This window comes from Homo sapiens, chromosome 3 (assembly GCF_000001405.40).
Source record: "Homo sapiens chromosome 3, GRCh38.p14 Primary Assembly".
Taxonomy (NCBI): domain Eukaryota; kingdom Metazoa; phylum Chordata; class Mammalia; order Primates; family Hominidae; genus Homo; species Homo sapiens.
This window is the reverse complement of record NC_000003.12, coordinates 12,051,760-12,069,343: the sequence shown is the minus strand read 5'-3', so window position 1 is coordinate 12,069,343 and position 17,584 is coordinate 12,051,760. Positions and strand designations below refer to the sequence as shown.

The following is a 17,584-nucleotide window of genomic DNA, read 5'->3' as shown; positions in this document are numbered from 1 at the left end:
CCGGGAGGCGGAGGTTGCAGTGAGCTGAGATTGTGCCACTGCACTCCAGCCTGGGTGACAGGGCAAGGGCGAGACTCCGTCTCCAAAAAAAAAAAAAAAGGTCATACAATTTGTACACAAATGTTCATGGCAGCGTTATTCATACGGCCAAAAAGTGGAAACAACCCAAATGTCCATCAACTGATGAATAAACAAAATGTGGTACAGACATGACGGAATGTCAGTCAGCAATAAAATGGAATGAAGTACTGACACATGCTACAACATGGATGGACCTTGAAAACATTACGCTAAGTGAAAAAAGCCAATGACAGGAGACCATATATTATATGACTCCATTTATATGAAGTGTTCAGAACAGGCAACTCTGTAGAGGCAGAAAGCAGATAAGTGGTGACCTAAGGCTGAGAAGGTGTGGAGAAATAGGGGTGTGACTACCAATGGGTATAGAGCTTTATTTCTGGTTAATGAAAATGTTCTAAAATTGATAGTGATGTGTGGTAGTTGCACAACCCTGCAGATGTACTAAAAACCATTGGATTGCACACTTTAAGTGGGAAATATTTTTAAAGAGAGAAAACAATATCACAGGAAGAGAACTCATTAGGAAGGCTGGAAGAAAAGTCAAGGAAATCTTCCTAAAAATACAGAAAAAAAAACTCAGAAATGAAAAACAGAAGAGAAAAAAATTTAAATCTACTGATAAATTCGGAAGGTCAACAACCAAATAATAGTTCTAAAAAGAGAGCATAGAAAAATATGGATTGGAAATCAACAATGAAGGAATTCAAGAAAATATCTCAGAATTGAAAGGCTTGTTACCCAGACTGAAAGGGCTCCAGAGAGTCAAGCAAAACAAATGCAAATAGATTCTCACCAAGATTCACCATCATAAATTTCGGAAAAGCAAGCCAAAGAGAAAATTCCAAATGCTTTCAGGGAAGAGGGTGGGAACAGATCAACATCCAAAAGATTAGGAATCAAAGTGGCTGCAAACTTCCCAGGAGCAATACTGGAAGCTGGAAGATAACTGAGCAATGCCTTCAACATTCTAAGGAAAAATGACTTCTGACCTAAAATTCTAAAGCCAGCAAACTATCAATAAGTACAAGGTAGTATAAAGATATTTTCAGACATGAAAGGTTGAGCTTTTTTCAGACATAAAAGGTTGAGCTTTAAATGTTTCTATAAAAAAAGAGCGATATCAAGTGGTAGATATATATCAAATACACTTATTACATTTGAGTTCAAATTTTTATTTATTCATTCATTCATTCATTCATTCGAGACAAGGTCTCACTCTGTCACCCAGGCTGTAGTGCAGTGATGTAATCACAGCTCACTGCATCTTTGACCTCCCAAGGCTCAGGTGATCCTCCCACTTCAGCCTCCCAAGTAGCTGGGACTATAGGCATGCACCACCACACCTGCCTAATTTTTCTTTTTGTAGAGACAGGGTTTTGCCACATTGCCCATGCTGGTATCAAACTCCTAGGCTCAAGTTGTCCTATCATCTCAGCCTTCCAAAGTGCTGCCATTACAGGCATGGGCCCACCGTGCCTGGCCTGAGTTCAAATTTTAATTTTAAAAATTTATAGAATGCTTAAGAAGTGAAGACCTGAAGACAGAGAGATAGAATTTGAGAAATATTTCTAGGAAATGAACCAGGAAAGTTCAGAAAGTGTCAAGGAAGCTTTCCCTTTCTTTCTTTCCTTTTTTTTTTTTTTCTGGTTAAGATAAGAGAGTCTGGAGCTTGTAATATGCAGATGAAAATGATTTAACAGAGAAGGAGAAACTGCACATGGCATGAGCCACCACACCCGGCCAATTAATAAACATTCTAACAGTCTCTTATTTATGAATTGATGTTGTGATGCCATGCATATTAATTAGAGGAGTTCAACAAAGGAATACAGTAGGGACCAGGGAGAAAGTGAAGTTTCATAGAAGACTTGGCCTTGAAGGCTGAAAAGAATTTTACAAGGAAAGGAAAGGTTTACCTCTCATATAGAGTTGAAACAATAAGGGAAAAAACATCCCTTTTTTCTTTTTTTTTAAATCACTGAATGACTTGGATTAAAACCTTGATATGACTCATTCTGTTTCTTTTCCCATGCTAAAATCTGCATTTGTCTTTTCTCCCCTAGGGAGATGTGAAATATAATTTAACAAATCTTGTTGATATGGTTTGGCTGTATCCCCACGCAAATCTCATCTTGTAGTTCCCATAATCCCCACATGTCGTGGGAGGGACCCAGTGAAAGGTACTTGCATCATGGGGGCAGTTACCCCCATGCTGTTCTTGTGAGAGTGAGTTCTCATGAGATCTGATAGTTTATATAAGGGGCTTTTCCCCCTTTGCTTGGAACTCACTCTCCTGCCACCATGTGAAGAAGGACATGTTTGCTTTCACTTCTGCCATGATTCTACACTTGATCTTAGTCAAAAGGCCGAGAAGTGATACCCTTCTGCCATCATTGTAAGCTTCCTGAGGCCCCCCCCAGCCATGTGAAATTGTGCAACAATTAAACTTCTTTCCTTTATAAATCACCCAGTCTTGGGTAGTTCTTTATAGCAGTGTGAGAACGGACTAATACACTTGTAAAGAGGTTCTTGAACAGAACTGCTCTATGTTCTGAATGTGAGTACCATGCCACCTTCTGTGATGCTGGAACTCCAGCATATTTTTTTTCATATCCTACATGATAAATATTCTGATATAAGTACACAAATGTAAGGGTAAGGAAGGTGAATTATTTGGGCTGAAAAACTTAGTAGCCATGCAAATATTCAGTTTGCATAAAAGCCAGCCAGATTTTCTACCAATGCCGCCAAGAGTTTTGGTGAATATATTCAATTCATGCCTTACAATTTAATAAGACTCCCCCCAACCTTGAGTCTTTTTTCTAAAACAACTGCCTCCAAATATCCTTCTGTTTTCATAAGTAGGACTTTGTGTGTTTTCACTTCTGACATTGAAACAGCTGCTTTCATTTTTTTAATTTTATTTTTCAGAATGGTTTTAGATTTACCAAAAAAACTATTAAGATAGCCCAGAGTTCCCACAATCCCCAAGCCTAGCTTTCCATACTATCATTTTACATCAGTATGGTATATTTGTTATAATTAACAAGCCAATATTGATTCATTATTATTAACTGAAGTGCATACTTTATCCAGATTTCCTTAGTTTTAATCTTTACCCGGATATCATCCACATACCATACAATTCATCCTTTTAAAGTGTGCAATTCAGTAGGGTTTAGTATATTTACCACTATCTAATTCTAGAGTATTTTTGTTACCCAAAACAGAAACCATGTACCCATTACCAGTCACCTCCTAATGCCTCATCCCCACTTGTAGCCCTAGGTAACCACTAATCTGCTTTCTGTCTCTACAGAGTTGCCTATTCTGGACTCTTCATATAAATGGAATCATACAACATGTGGTCTCTTGTTACTGGCTTTTTAAATAATTTCAACTTTTATTTTAGATTCAGGGAGTACATGTGCAGGTTTGTTACATGAGTATATTGCATGATGCTGAGGTTTGGTTTATGATTGATTCCGTCACCCAGGTAGTGAGCATAGTACTCAACAGTTAGTTTTTCCAACCCTTGCCCCCACCCTCCTTCCCACCTCAAGTAGTCCCCAGTGTCTACTGTTGCCCTCTTTATGTCTACGAGTACCCAATGTTTAGCTCCCACTTGTTAAGTGAGAACATGCAGTATTTGGTTTTCTGTTCCTGTTATTAATTCATTTAGGATAATGGCCTCCAGCTGCATACATTTTGCTGAAAAGGACATAATTTCATTCCTTTTTATGGCTGTATAGTATTTCATAGTATATATGTACCACCTTTTCTTTATCCAATCCACTGTTGAGCACCTATGTTGATTCCATCTTTACTACTGTGAATAGTGCTACGACAAACATATAAGTGCATGTGTTTTTTTGGTAGAACAATTTATTTTCTTTTGAGTATATACCCAATAATGGGATTGCTGGGTTCAATAGTAGTTCTGTTTTAAGTTCTTTGAGAACTCTCCAAACTGTTTTCCACGGTGACTAATTTACATTCCCACCAGCAGTGTCTAGGTGTGTAGGTGTTCCCTTTACTCTGCAGCCTCACCAGCATCTGTTGTTTTTTGACTTTTCTTAATAGCCATTCTGAATAGTGTGAGATGGTACCTTATTGAAATTTTTATTTGCATTTATTTGATGATTGTTACTGGCGTCTTTCACTTAGCATAACGTTTCCAAGGTGCATCCATGTTGTAGCATGTATCAGTACTTAATTCCATTTTACTGCTGAACGACATTCCATTGTAGAGCTATACCACATTTTGTTTACCCATTTAACAGTTGACAGACATTTGGGTTTTCACTTTTTGGCTATATGAATAACGCTATGAACATCTGTGTACAAGTTGTTGGGTGAACACGTGTTTTAAATCCTCTCAGGTATACCTATGAGTGAAATTGCTGGCTCATATGGTAACTCTACATTTAACTTCTGAGGAACTGACAAACTGTTTTTCCAAGTGCACCATTTCACATTTCCACCATCCATGTATAAGGGTTCCAATTTCTCCACATCCTCACCAACACTTGTTATTCTCTGTCTTTTTTATTATAGTTGTCCTATGGAGTGTAAAGTTATATCTCATTGTGGCTTTGTGACACACTTCCGTTAGAACTAATGAGGTTGAGCATCTTTTCATGCACTATTGACCTTTTGTATATGTTCTTTGGAGAAATGTCTATTCAAATCCTTTGCCCCTTTAAAATATGGGTTGTCTCTTTATTGTTGAATTATAAGAACTCTATATATTCTGGATACTAGAACTCTCTTAGCTACATTATTTACTTTCCCCCCGATTCTGTGAATTCATTGTATTTATAGTATCATTTGAAGCACAAGTTTTAAATTTTGATGAAGTTCAATTTATTTATATTTTCTTTGTTTGTTTGTTTTTAAGTGTAGATTTCCTTAGTTTCTAACCTAATGACATCTTCTGGTCCAGGATCCCATACAGGATACCACATTAATCACCATGTCTCCTTAAGTTCTCCTCTTGACAGTTTCTCAGACTTTCCATGTTTTTGATAATTTTGACAGTTTTAATAAGTATTGGCCAAGTGTTTTGTAGACTGCCCCTCAACTGGTCTTTATCTAATGTTTTTCTCAAAGTTAGAGTTATGGGTTTGAGGAAAAAAGACCACAGAGATCAAGTACCATTTTAGTCACATGTCAAGGGTATACACTACCAACATTACTTATCACTGTTGATGATGACTTTGATCACCTGACTGAGGGAGTGTTTGTCAGGTTTCTCCAATGTAATCTTTTTTCCTACTTTCCCTACTGTACTCTTTGAAAGGATGGCACTATGCACAGCTCACACTTAAGGGGTGGGAAGTTATATTCCACCTTCTTGATGCAGAATATCTACATAAATTGGAAATTATCCTGCATGGTAGATTTTTTTTCCTCTTCTCCCTTTAATCATTTATTTGCATCAGTATGGACCTATGGATATTTATTATTTTGGATTATAACCCAATACTGTATTTTCTTGCTCAAACTATTCCAGCTTTAGCCATTGGTAACCCTTTCAATTGGGCTTCAGGCTCTTTTGACACAGCCCCCTTCCATGTGTTTTTAAAAATATCCATAAATATTTCTATATGAAACTGTATGTGCCTATATTAAACTAAACATGAGTTCATAATGATGTCTCCAACTTTAATCCATTATTACATGGATTATTCTAGCCTTTTCCCATGTTTATCTGTGAACTTCCACTCCGACAGTGAGAAACCTGGTTGACTCCATCTTCCATCCATTTACTTAATTGTTCAATTTCAGTATACATGTATAGCATTATCAGAATTGTTAATCCACACACTCATGGGATACATTATCAACTACAGTTCTTACGTTTAGATTCTTTTGCCTTTAATCTTACAGACTCTACTCATTTCCATAGTCAATTAAATCAGCACCTTTTTCCCTCATTCATTTCAGTGAGTTATTTTACACATTTGTAATTTTATCACATTCTGCATTCTATCCTGGGATCACCCAATCCCCTAAGTGATTTTTTAAAATTTTGCAAACATTATGGTTCACCTTTTGTGTTGTTGAATTCCATAGATTTTGCATAGTGTCATGTATTCCTCCATTTCAGTATCATATAGAATAGTTTCACCACCCCCCAAATCTCCTGTGTTTCACTGTATTTAAGTCCTCCCCTCCCATCCTTCCCCCCGGCAAACACCAATCCTTTTGCTGTTACTATAGTTTTGCCTTTTCCAAAATGGCATATAATTGGACTCATGTAGCCTGTAGCCTTTTGAAATTGGCTTATTTACCTTAGCAATATGCATTTAAGATTCATCCATGTCTTTTTGTAGCTTGATAGCTCATTTATTTTTATCACTGAATAATATTCTACTGTCTGGATGTTCCATAGTTTACCCATTCACCTACTGAAGGACATCTTGGTTGCTTCCAGTTTTTGCTGATTATGAATAAAGTTGTTATAAACATTTGCATGCAGGTTTTTGTCTTGGCATATGGTTTTCAAATCATTTGGGTAAATACCTAGGAGCATGAATGCTGGATCGTATGGTAAGACTATGTTTAGTTTTGTAAGAAACTGCCAAACTGTCTACGCTTCTTATTGAGTCTTAGAGTTATTGGTATATTTGGATACAATTCCTTTATTAGGTACATATTTTGCAAATATTTTCTCCCAGTCTGTGGCTTGTCTTTCAATTCTCTTAACAATGTCTTCTATAGAGCAGAAATTTTCAACTTTAATAAAGTCCAACTTATCAGTTTTTTTCTTTCACAGATTATGTTTTTGGTGCTGTATCTAAAAACTCACAGCCAAACCCAAGGTCACCTAGAGTTCCTCCTGTGTTTTCTTCCAGAAGATTTCTAGTTTTAAATTTCAGATTTCGGTTTATGGTCCATTTTAATTTTTGTCAAAAGTATAAGATTTGTGTCTAGGTTCACTACCCTGCATATGAATGTAAATTTGTTGAAAAGACTGTCCTTTCCCCATTTAATTCTTTGCTCCTTTGTCAAAGATCATTTGATTATTATCTGTGTGAGTCTATTTCTGGGCTCTCTGTTCCATTGATTGAAATAGATCTATTGTTTCATATCATCATCATCATCATACTGCATGGATAACTACAATGTAATAAAAAGTCTTGAAATCAAGTTGTGTGAATCCTTCAACTTTATTCCTCTTCAGTATTATGTCGGCTATTCTGGGTTTCTAGGCTTTCCATATAAACTTCAGAATCAACTTGTTAATCTCTACAAAAATTGCTTTCTGGGATTTTGATTGGGATTCCACTGCATCTACAGATCAAGTTGGGAAGACTTGACATCTTAACAATATTGAGTCTTCCAATCTATAAATATAGAATCTGTTTATTTAGATCTTCGATTTCTTTCATCAAAGTTTTGCAGTGTTCTGCTTATACGTCTTGAATTTATTTTGTTAGATTTATGCCTAAGTACTTTTTTCTTTTTTTGTGGTGCTGTTGTAAATGGTAGTGTTTTTTTAATTTTTCATTGTGGTATACAGGAAAATAACTAATTATATATACTCACCTTGTGTCCTGGAACCTTGCTCTACTTGTTTATGTTCCAGGAGGTTTATCATTTCCTAGCAATTTTCTACATAGACAATCATGTCACCTGTGAACAAAGACAGTTTTATTTCTTACTTCACAAAATATATAGCTTTAATTTCCTTTTCTTGTCTTATTTCACTAAGTTATCCAATATGATGTTGACTAATAGTGGTGACAGAAGACATCTTTACCTCATTCTCAATCTTAGGGAGAAAGTATGGTTTCTTACCATTAAGTACAATATAGGCTTTTTTTGTAAGATGTTCTTTAATAAGTTGAGGAAATTCACCTTTATGCCTAGTTTGCTGAGAATGTTTATCATGAATCAACGTTGCATTTTGTCAGAGGCTTTTTAAGCATCAATTCCTAGCCTTCAAATATCTTACCATATATTTCTTCTGTTCTTTCTTTGCCTTCTCATATAATTGCACATCTTATACCTATTGAAAATATCTCACATTCTTAAATGTTCTGTTGCTGTTTTAAACTCTATTTTTCTCTTTGCCTTTCTGAGAAGTTTCACTGACATATGTATTTTCAAGCTTCTTTCCTTGGCTGTGTCCAGAATAGCCCATCAAAGGCATTCTTCATTTTTGTTGCAGTTTTTACTTATAGCATTTGCTTTTCATTCATTCCTACAGTTTCCATCTCTCTGCTTACATTATCCATCTGTTCTTTCATGTTATCTACTTTTTCCATCAGAGCGTTTACCATATTAATCGTAGTTACTTTAAATGTCCTGCTTGTTAATTCCAAGATATGTGTCATATCTGAGGCTGGTTCTGATGCTTGGTTTGAAGACACTTCAGGCTGTGTTATTTATTCCCTTTAGCATGACTTGTAATTTTTTTGTAAGCCAGACATGATGTATTGGGAATAGGAACTGGTCTAAATAGGCCTTTAGTGTGAAGTTTTATGTTAATCTAGCTAGGAGTTTGGCTGTGTTTAATACATGCTGCAGTGGTAAGTGCCAGAGGCTTCAAATTCCTCCAGTGTCCCTGTTTGTATGTCCTCTGTTGTCTTTGGGCTTCCCTGAGAACTCCCCCTCAGATAGAGTCTGTGTGTTATAACTCATTTGGCTGTAACCCAGCAGTTACACTGTAGCCCTGTTGGTGTGGTGGTAAGATGTTGGGGGAAAGGAAGCATTCTGCTATCTTACGATTAAATCTCAGTCATTCAGTGGGCCTGTCACCTTCACGAGTATTTCTCAGTTTCTTTCCCCTTCCCCCTTAGGTGAGATAGTAAAACTAGAGGGGGCTGGAGTCAGAGAAATGCCCTTCTCCCAGGTGGGATAAGACTCTGGTAGTCTTTTCCTCTGGAGAGTAGGTCTTTGTTATGGAGAAGGCTCCGGGTGTATTTCACAATGGTTACTCTCCCTTTCTTCCTGCCAGAACCAATATGAGATTTTTCTTGGCTCTACACTGTACAAACCTGTGGGGTTCCTAAAAGTAAAATCTATAAAAATGTGATGCCACTGTTAAGACTACAGACCCAGGAGTTTCTCAATCTCCAGCTAGCCCATAAACAACCTTCAGCAATTTGTCAAAATTACCATTGAAGTGTTCCTACCAGTTTAAGACTCCAGCAGCTTCTGCTCCAAGTATGCAGATCTCAACTGAGACTTCCTAGATTGGCTTGTCTTTCCATATTTTAGGGCAGCACTTTGCTCTGCAATCTCATTTCTCTGATAGATGCAAGAAAAGTTCTGATTTTCATTTTGTTCAGCTGTTTCTTGAGCAAGGCTAGGTATGATGATTTCCATGCTCTATAAATGTCAGAGCTGATACCCGCTGCTTTCATTTTCATCCTTACAGTTTAATGAATTGGTGTCTTGAGGAATTGAGACAGAGCAGGGACCCCCTTTAGAGGAGCCTGTGGGCCCCCCGCCAAGCATGGAAATAAAGGAAAATCTTGAGTTCCTTCAAGAAAAATTCCAGGCGCCTAGCTAGCCCTGAGAAGTAAATAAGCAACTTTACAGCAAGAAGGTAACAGTAACTTAAAACAATAGCCAAGGAAGTTACTGTCAGGAGATGTTTGATTCCCCTGTAGAAGCTAAAGATAACATCTTAACGTATGTCCCTGAGTTGTTTTTCAGAAACCCAGACCTCCACCAAGCAGATCCACTGGCACACAGACCTCAGATAAAGGGCAATGAAGACTGAATTCTGACCACCGTTCTTTGTTTTAAATTTCTTCCTGAGGGGCCTGGAGGGAGTAACACCCAGGAGCCAGAGTTAACATTCTTTTCTACTGATTCCAGCTTTTAAAACAAAGCTTCTCTTCCTTAAGCAACTGCAAATCAGAAAATGTTTGAATCCACCTATGACCTGTGGGCCCACCACCCACTTATCCCGTCTGCTTCAAGATGTCCCACCCTTTTAGGCCAAAACCAATGTGTAACCTCTATGTATTGATTTATGATTTTCCTTGTACTTCTGCTTTCCTGAAATTTACTCCTGCCTATAAAAACCCTTACCTATACACCATAGGAAAGGTCAGGATTTAAGCATTAGCTGCCTGGTCCTCCTTGCTTGGTGCCTTGCAAATTAACGTTTTCCTTTCTACCACTGCAAAACCTTGGTGTGGATATCTGGTCTTACTGTGCCAGGCAAGTAGACCCCAGTTCAGTTCTATAACAGAACTACTTTGGCAACACATGACTTGGATGCATATAACCAGACAGGTAGATTTAGATACACTTCAGTGGTGGAATCCAGCTCTTGGTCAAATACTAAAACTCTCTCATCCAAACTGGTGGGAATGTGGGACTCAAGTGCTATCCCTAGAAGTTGGGTTTATAAGAGAAAACAGCTGGAACCAGCATTAAACTGTAATGAGAAGGGACTCTCAGGAGATGAGGAAAGAGGGAATGATAAAGGTAACTGCTGCTTTTAGAAGCCATTCTCAGCACTGATATGACACTCTAACAGAATCTTTTGACTAGGTCAGGAAAAGCAAAATATCAAATACATCTCTAGTACCCATGCTCCCTTTCTGGGTTTTTCTCTGCCCATCCCTCTCCCCCTGTTCCAGCACTGCTTTCATATTCCCCTTCCCCAGTGATTTTATCTTGATTTATTCACTGGGTCCACTTAGACATGCTAGTGCTTAATTATTATCAGAAGAGCTGATACTAGAGTAAGTGGAAATAATTGAGGCAAATTGTCCAGCACTGGAAGGAACAGTTTGCTTCAGAGATAGAATAATCATTTGTCAGGAAAAGAAGTAAATTACTGTTGTCTTATATCACACAAACATACAAAGGTTAATGACTGGAATAACTCATTCTAAAAAAAATTCTGAGTTCTGATTCCTTTAGTAGTCCTATATATACACACAGCATAATAGCATATCTTAATTTAATGTCTTTAACAATACAGCTGGGAATCATTCAGAAATCATCTACCGTCATTAAAGGGATCATTAATTTGTGGGAAAGAAAACATATTTATGCTAAACTGTTAAGATAATCAACTTACATCAGAAATCTATTGTTTCAAAAACATGCAAATGGTCTACCAAATCAACCTCCAGATGGCCTACTTATCTACAGTGTCCTTATAGACATTGTAGGTAAGAAACTTAAAGTGAAGAAATAAATATGGACATTTGAAAAGGACAGGGATCAAATTCTAGGTATGTGCATTTGTTAAAAAATGTAGATTCTGATGGAGAAGGGTTGGGGAATGGGACCACAGAATATATTTTTAAAGTAGGCATCCCAGGTGATTTTGATGCAGATAGAGGACCACACGATGAAATACTATGCTCTAAAAGGATCAAAATAAAGACTATGTTTCGAGTATGTTTATATGTTTCAGTTTTAATGTTCTTCTAAAATTATAGAACCAATTCTACTTACATGTTTATTTTTAAGTATTTCCACTATATTTTTTCATAAAATCTTCCCTGATTGTCTCATAGTAACAGTAAAAGCATGTCACGGGAGTGGAAAAGCAGAAAGCTATAGAGATTGGAAACCAGTTATCCATAAATTAAGAGCCCAAAGTTATCAGACTGAATCAAATGCTGAGAAATCAATAATCAAAATCAAAACTACAAAATATAAAGCCAACTTTCTAAAATCAAACTGTAACCAAAGAAATAAGTTTGAATCTTAGTCATCCTACAGGCATGTCTAATCCAAATTTATACAATGTTCATGGCTAAAGTCATATCACATAAGAGGACTGAAAATAAAATCCCTTCCTGTAGCCTAATTTTTATATGTTTAAGATTGTTCTAGGACTTCTCAGCTGCTGGACTATATTTGAAACTCATTTCAAATATCTTTGTTCATGTTTCACTAGAAAAACAATTCCCCTAAAAATAAGGGATTTAAAGATGTCAAAAAGTATACACACACACACACACACACACACACACACACACACAGACAGTCTTGCCTTGTCGCCCAGGTTGGAGTGCAGTGGCACGATCTTGGCTCACTGAAACCTCTGCCTCCTGGGTTCAAGCAATTCTCCTGCCTCAGCCTCCCGAATAGCTGGGATTACAGGCGCATGCCACCACGCCCAGCTAATTTTTGTATTTTTAGTAGAGATGGGTTTTCACCACGTTGGCCAAGTTGGTCTTGAACTCCTGACCTCAAGTGATCCGCTTGCCTCAGCCTCCCAAAGGTGCTGGGATTACAGGCGTGAGCCACCACACCTGGCCCAGATGTCACTATATTTTCATATCTTGTCTTAGAATTATCATTTTTGTTCTGTTAGAACAAGTAATATAACCAGTCTTTTATATAACAGATTAGTTGAGAGGGTGAGAATATACATGTTTCCATATAATTTTTAATATACACAAAGGACACAACTTTTTAGGAGGGTGACTAACTGAAGGCTAGATACTATAGACACTAGGTTTAGAGAGACATTGGTATACCACCCACACTTCTATTTGCCAACATCAGTAAATGAGGGAAGTAGAAAGTCTGCTTTGGAATCAATCAAATTTGGGCTTGAACTCCTGCCCCCTACTCATTACCATGAGGAAATTATTTAACTTCTGAGACTCTGCCAAATAAGAATAATCCATTTTGAATGTCAAGATAACAGGTGTGAAATGCTCTAGTACAAAGTCTAGTATACCTTAGGCAAAAATATTTTTAATATATAGGTGCCCTTCTTTTCTCCTCTCTGCCCACTAATCCTCTTGCTCTTGTTCATACAACAGAAAACATTTTTTTCTTTAAACTTTATGTTGTAAAATAAAACAAAGATACAGAAAGCCACATCAAAATTAAAAAAAAAGAGTATTGCTTAATGAGTTTAATGAGTTGTTATAAGGCAAACACTCATGTATCCACCATCCAGGTTAATAAACCAATTTTGACAGCCACCCCAGGAGCAACTTCAATACCCAGTCCCAGTCTTGACCCCCTCCTTCCCCGCAAAGGTAACCACTCTCTTGACTTTTATGGAATTACTTCCTTATGCTTGTATTCAAGTGTATATTCTTAAACACTACAGTTTACAGTTGCCTATTTAAAAAAAAAAAAACAAAACACAACTTTGTCTTCCAAATCTCTTTTAATCCACAGGTTTCCCTGTGCATCCCTTTATTTTCCTTAGAGTTGATCTGTTCAAGAGCCTGGAGCATCTTGATCCATATGTAGAATTTCCCATAGTAGCAGTTTTGCTGATTACACTCTCACCAGGAAGATCGTCTTTCTCCATTCTTTGTGTTTCCCACAAATTGGCAGCTGGACGCAGAGGCTTGATCAGACTCCTGTTAGATTCCTTTTATCAGGAGCTCATAAAGTCTGCCTTTCTGTGATATTAACAGCTGTTGATGTTCAATACCTAGATGCATTAATTCAATGGGAGTTGCAAAACGGTAATACTCTAATTTTATCATTTTTATGCAAAAATTCATTTTATTCCCATGTGCCAACAGCCAATAAATAGAAAATGAAATTCAAAGAGTAATACCATTTATAATAGCATCAAAAGAACCACCAAATACCCAGAGAGAAAGGCAACTAAATATGTAAAAGACTTCTGCCTTTAAAAACCACAAAGCATAATTTGAGAGTTTTTAAAGCCTCAAACAGTTGGTGGGATATACCATGTTCATGTTCTAAAAATTCATAACTGCAAATATATAATTTCTCCAAAAATTGAACCACAGAATCAACACAATCACAAAATCCCAGATCTTTCCTGTATGCAAGGAAATCCATTATTTTTCATATTTCTTTTTTCCTTTAAGTTTATTCTCTTCATTTGATAACTTCACAAAATGGAGCTCATTCATTTTTAAAGCTTTCTTGTCTAATATATTTAAAATAAAAGTTTTCTTCAAAATACTGCCTTTGCTGCATCTCTTAAATATCGTTATGTAGTGTTTTCATTGTCATTACCTTCTAGGTATTTTTAATTTACATTAATTATTTAGTGGTGTTTTCAAATTTTCAAAATACATGGGGAATTTTTAAGATTTTCATCTTTTTATATTAACTTCTAATTTCATTATAGTCAAAGATCATTCTATATCTTTTTGAAATGTGTTGATGTGTTCTCTGCTTTATTCATATTAATTTTTATGAATGTTCCATGAATATTTGAGAAACTGTGTGTTCTTAAATTGTTAAATATAAAAATCTATATGTCCAAAAGGTCAAGTATCAAGCTTTTTAATTTTGGCATTCAGATCTCCTATACTGTTCACTTTCTGTCTTCTTGACCAATCAATATTAAATTTATCAACACTAATAAAGGATGCTAGAAAACAAAAGCAGTACTTTTCTAAATTTTGAAGAAAAATTATTTTTGACCCAGAATTCTATATTCTACTAAACTATCAAATGTATGGGTTAATAATTTCATTTTTGAATATCTAATTTCTCAGAAGATTCATCTCTTAGGCACCCTTTCTTTAAAAACTCCTGGAAAAGATGTTCCTGTAGAATGAGGAAGTAAAGCTAAGCAAAAAAGAAAAAGTGGGATCCAAGAAACTGGAACTACTCCCCAGGAGACAGTAGTGTTAAAAAAAAAAAAAAAGTCCCAGGATGCAATAATCCTAGATACCAAATTGTCCAGATTAAAATAGGATAGAGGGTTACAAAGGGAGACCTCTGGGCAGGGGATCAGAGAGGGGAGAATTGGTAGATTTTTCAGATAATGTAAGTAATTGGTTGAATCAGACAAATCTTTTGCTCCTCCCCAGATTCTCTTGGCTTTACTCACTCTGCCTTCAGGGGCCACCAGAGTGATTCTAGATGGACTCATGTAGTTAAACCTTCTGTGTCAACCGGCTATACACCCCAAGTCTCTGGCTCCTCCTACAACTCCCAGATTCAGATGAAGTGCCACTATGTAGGATCTTGCTTCCCCCAAAATTGCAAAGGACAAATCTGATGATGCAACCAGGAAGCATGGGGAGGAGGGTTATTCTTCATGGGCAATTTTTAACCAGTGGGAGACAGAACATAAGGGGGAATCAACAGATAGAGCCCCTTTCCCTCTTTCTCATGGACTACTCTAACAGTTTTCAGGATAGCCCACATGGAAATGTCCTGAGTGGGCAGACTGGTGTACCTGCCAAATGACCAGTTGTTATCTCTTCACTGCCTGTTGTAAAGCAGCGGCAAGTGTGATAAGGCATTACCTTGCATTTGCTTCCTGTCCTTCCTGCCTCACTCCCCCTACTATCATTCTTGCTGCCCTGGGATTGCACCTCCCAGTAAAGGATTCGCATTTAATGTTTGCCTCAAGCTCTGTTATCTAAGGAACATGGACCAAGTCACAGGTATATGATGGATTCTGATAAAATAATATGAAAATTTTTAATTGAGGTTTGCAAAACTTATCATTTTAATTATATTTTTAATTATTCGAGGTTTACAAAAAACTTAATTTTTTAATTTAACTTATTTTAAGTTAATTACTTGAGGCATACAAAAATTTTAATTGAGGTTTACAAAAATTATTCTCAATTTGAGAGTTATAAAAATTTTCATGTAAAAAACATGAGAATACTATTAACTCTAGGGGGGAAAAGTCCTGTATGGTAAACATTGTAATCATAGTAAGTATGCCACCTAGCTCTGCAGAAAGAAACATATATGAGAATAATGTAAACACTGATATAAATACAAATTACAGAATAATTATGTTTGATAGATGGAGTGTAGAGGGGGGCTGTGAGACCTAAGTGTACATTTATCAGATAATGAGAAAGAAGGATCAATCAGAATCATATCTATATATATTTTTTTGTTTTGTTTTGTTTTGTTTTTTGTTTTTTGAGACAAAGTCTCGCACTGTTGCCCAGGCTGGAGTGCAGTGGTGTGATCTCGGCTCACTGCAACCTCCGCCTCCCAGGTTCAAGCAATTCTCCTGCCTCAGCCTCCTGAGTAGCTGGGACTACAGGCACCCACCACCATGCCTGGCTAATTTTTGCATTTTTAGTAGAGACGGGGTTTCACCATGTTGGTGAGGCTAGTCTCGAACTCCTAACCTCGTGATCCACCCACCTCGGCCTCCCAAAGTGCTGGGATTACAGGCATGAGCCACCGTGCCTGGCCGGATCAATCAGAATCTTATTTCCAGCTCTAAAGTAATTCAATGTATGATCTTGGATGAGTTAATTTACCTTTGTTTCAGTTTCTTCATTTATCAAATGGGAATAATATCTACCATGCCTTTTGCTGTAGGGTTGTTGTAAAGGTAAAATGAAACAACATGTATGGAAATTATGTCAAAAAACAAAAAGGTCATCTTCAGAAGAGATATGGGAACCAGCAGCAAGCTCAAAGTAGCATGTTTGGGTCAAAGGAAGATAAGTAGGATGTGAGTTCAAATCTCCTAACTTAGCATTTCTCTGACAGCTAAACTGCAAGGGCAATGCTAAGAGTTTCAAGAATGTTATGATGCTTTGGCCTAAAAAAAACTGTTTTTCTCTTTCTGGAAAGAAAGGAGACATGACCAAGGCTGGCTCCTATGGGTAATCTTGATTACAACAACCTCCTGACTTGTTTTCTCGCCTCTAGTCTCTCCTCCTACCAATCCATCCAGATACCTTAACACTCCTAACCTAACTCTTTATCATGTTATCCAGAGATCAGGGATCTACAATGGTGCCACATTCTTCAATTTAGGTTCTATTCCTTCTCCATAAATTTGTATTTATTTCCCTGGTCCACACAAATTTTGATTCTTCTTGCCCAATTCTAACAGTCAATTTAATTTTTTTCTTGAAAGTATAGCCAACAATTAAGTCTTAACAGTTGATTAAATTCTAATGTAACTTTATAAATCTTGAGTTCCTCAGGCACTGCATTAATTCTGGAGAACAGCAAACATGTCTCTCCTAAGTGCTAAGCACAGCTCCTATCAGGCAGTAGGTGCAAAAAAAAAAAGAAGAAAAAAAGAAATGAATAGAACAGAGGTTACTTACTTAACCTCTTTAAAATTCTAGTTTCTCTTCTGCAAAATCTGAATAATACTTTACAGATACTGTGAGACTTTTAAAATGATATATAGCATACAGTCTAGCACAACGCCTAGCATGTAGCTAGCATTCAATAAATGTTTCCTGAATATAAATACTAAAATGTGAATATCGATCCCATATGATTGCTGCTAGGGCTAAAGAAAGATGTGTCAAAAATGCTCTAAAACCAAAACATTTGTCAAAGGTGAATAATTATTATCATTAAAAAATACAAAATAAACTGAATGAAAAAGAAAACCAGCAGGGAGCCAACTAAGAGGCAACAGCCCACATGGGAAATACACGGTGAATTTAGTAAGATTTCTAACCTCTGAAAAGCTTCCTTCTTGGAGAAGCTGAATAAATTCCTGAGAAACCTTCCATATGAAGGAATGAGATCCTAACACCTCAGGCATACACAAGGCCTTGAAGCAGATGTTGTTATACAATGTGTTCCAAAGAACATTCTTGAC

The 17,584-nt window shown here is 36.8% G+C and overlaps 1 protein-coding gene across 3 annotated transcripts in view, besides 1 other annotated feature; it reads right to left on the bottom strand.

Moving 5' to 3' along the window:
- Positions 1-17,584, bottom strand: part of SYN2 (synapsin II) — a 187,645-nt gene that overhangs the window by 122,689 nt on the left and 47,372 nt on the right. The gene's annotated exons all lie outside the window — the stretch shown is intronic.
- Positions 9,722-10,223: an enhancer, noted in NCBI's record as "H3K4me1 hESC enhancer chr3:12100621-12101122 (GRCh37/hg19 assembly coordinates)". NCBI's record gives its function as "activates a minimal SCP1, AML or CMV promoter by ChIP-STARR-seq in primed H9 embryonic stem cells {active_cell/tissue: H9 hESC(primed)}" and the evidence as "EXISTENCE:reporter gene assay evidence [ECO:0000049][PMID:30033119]".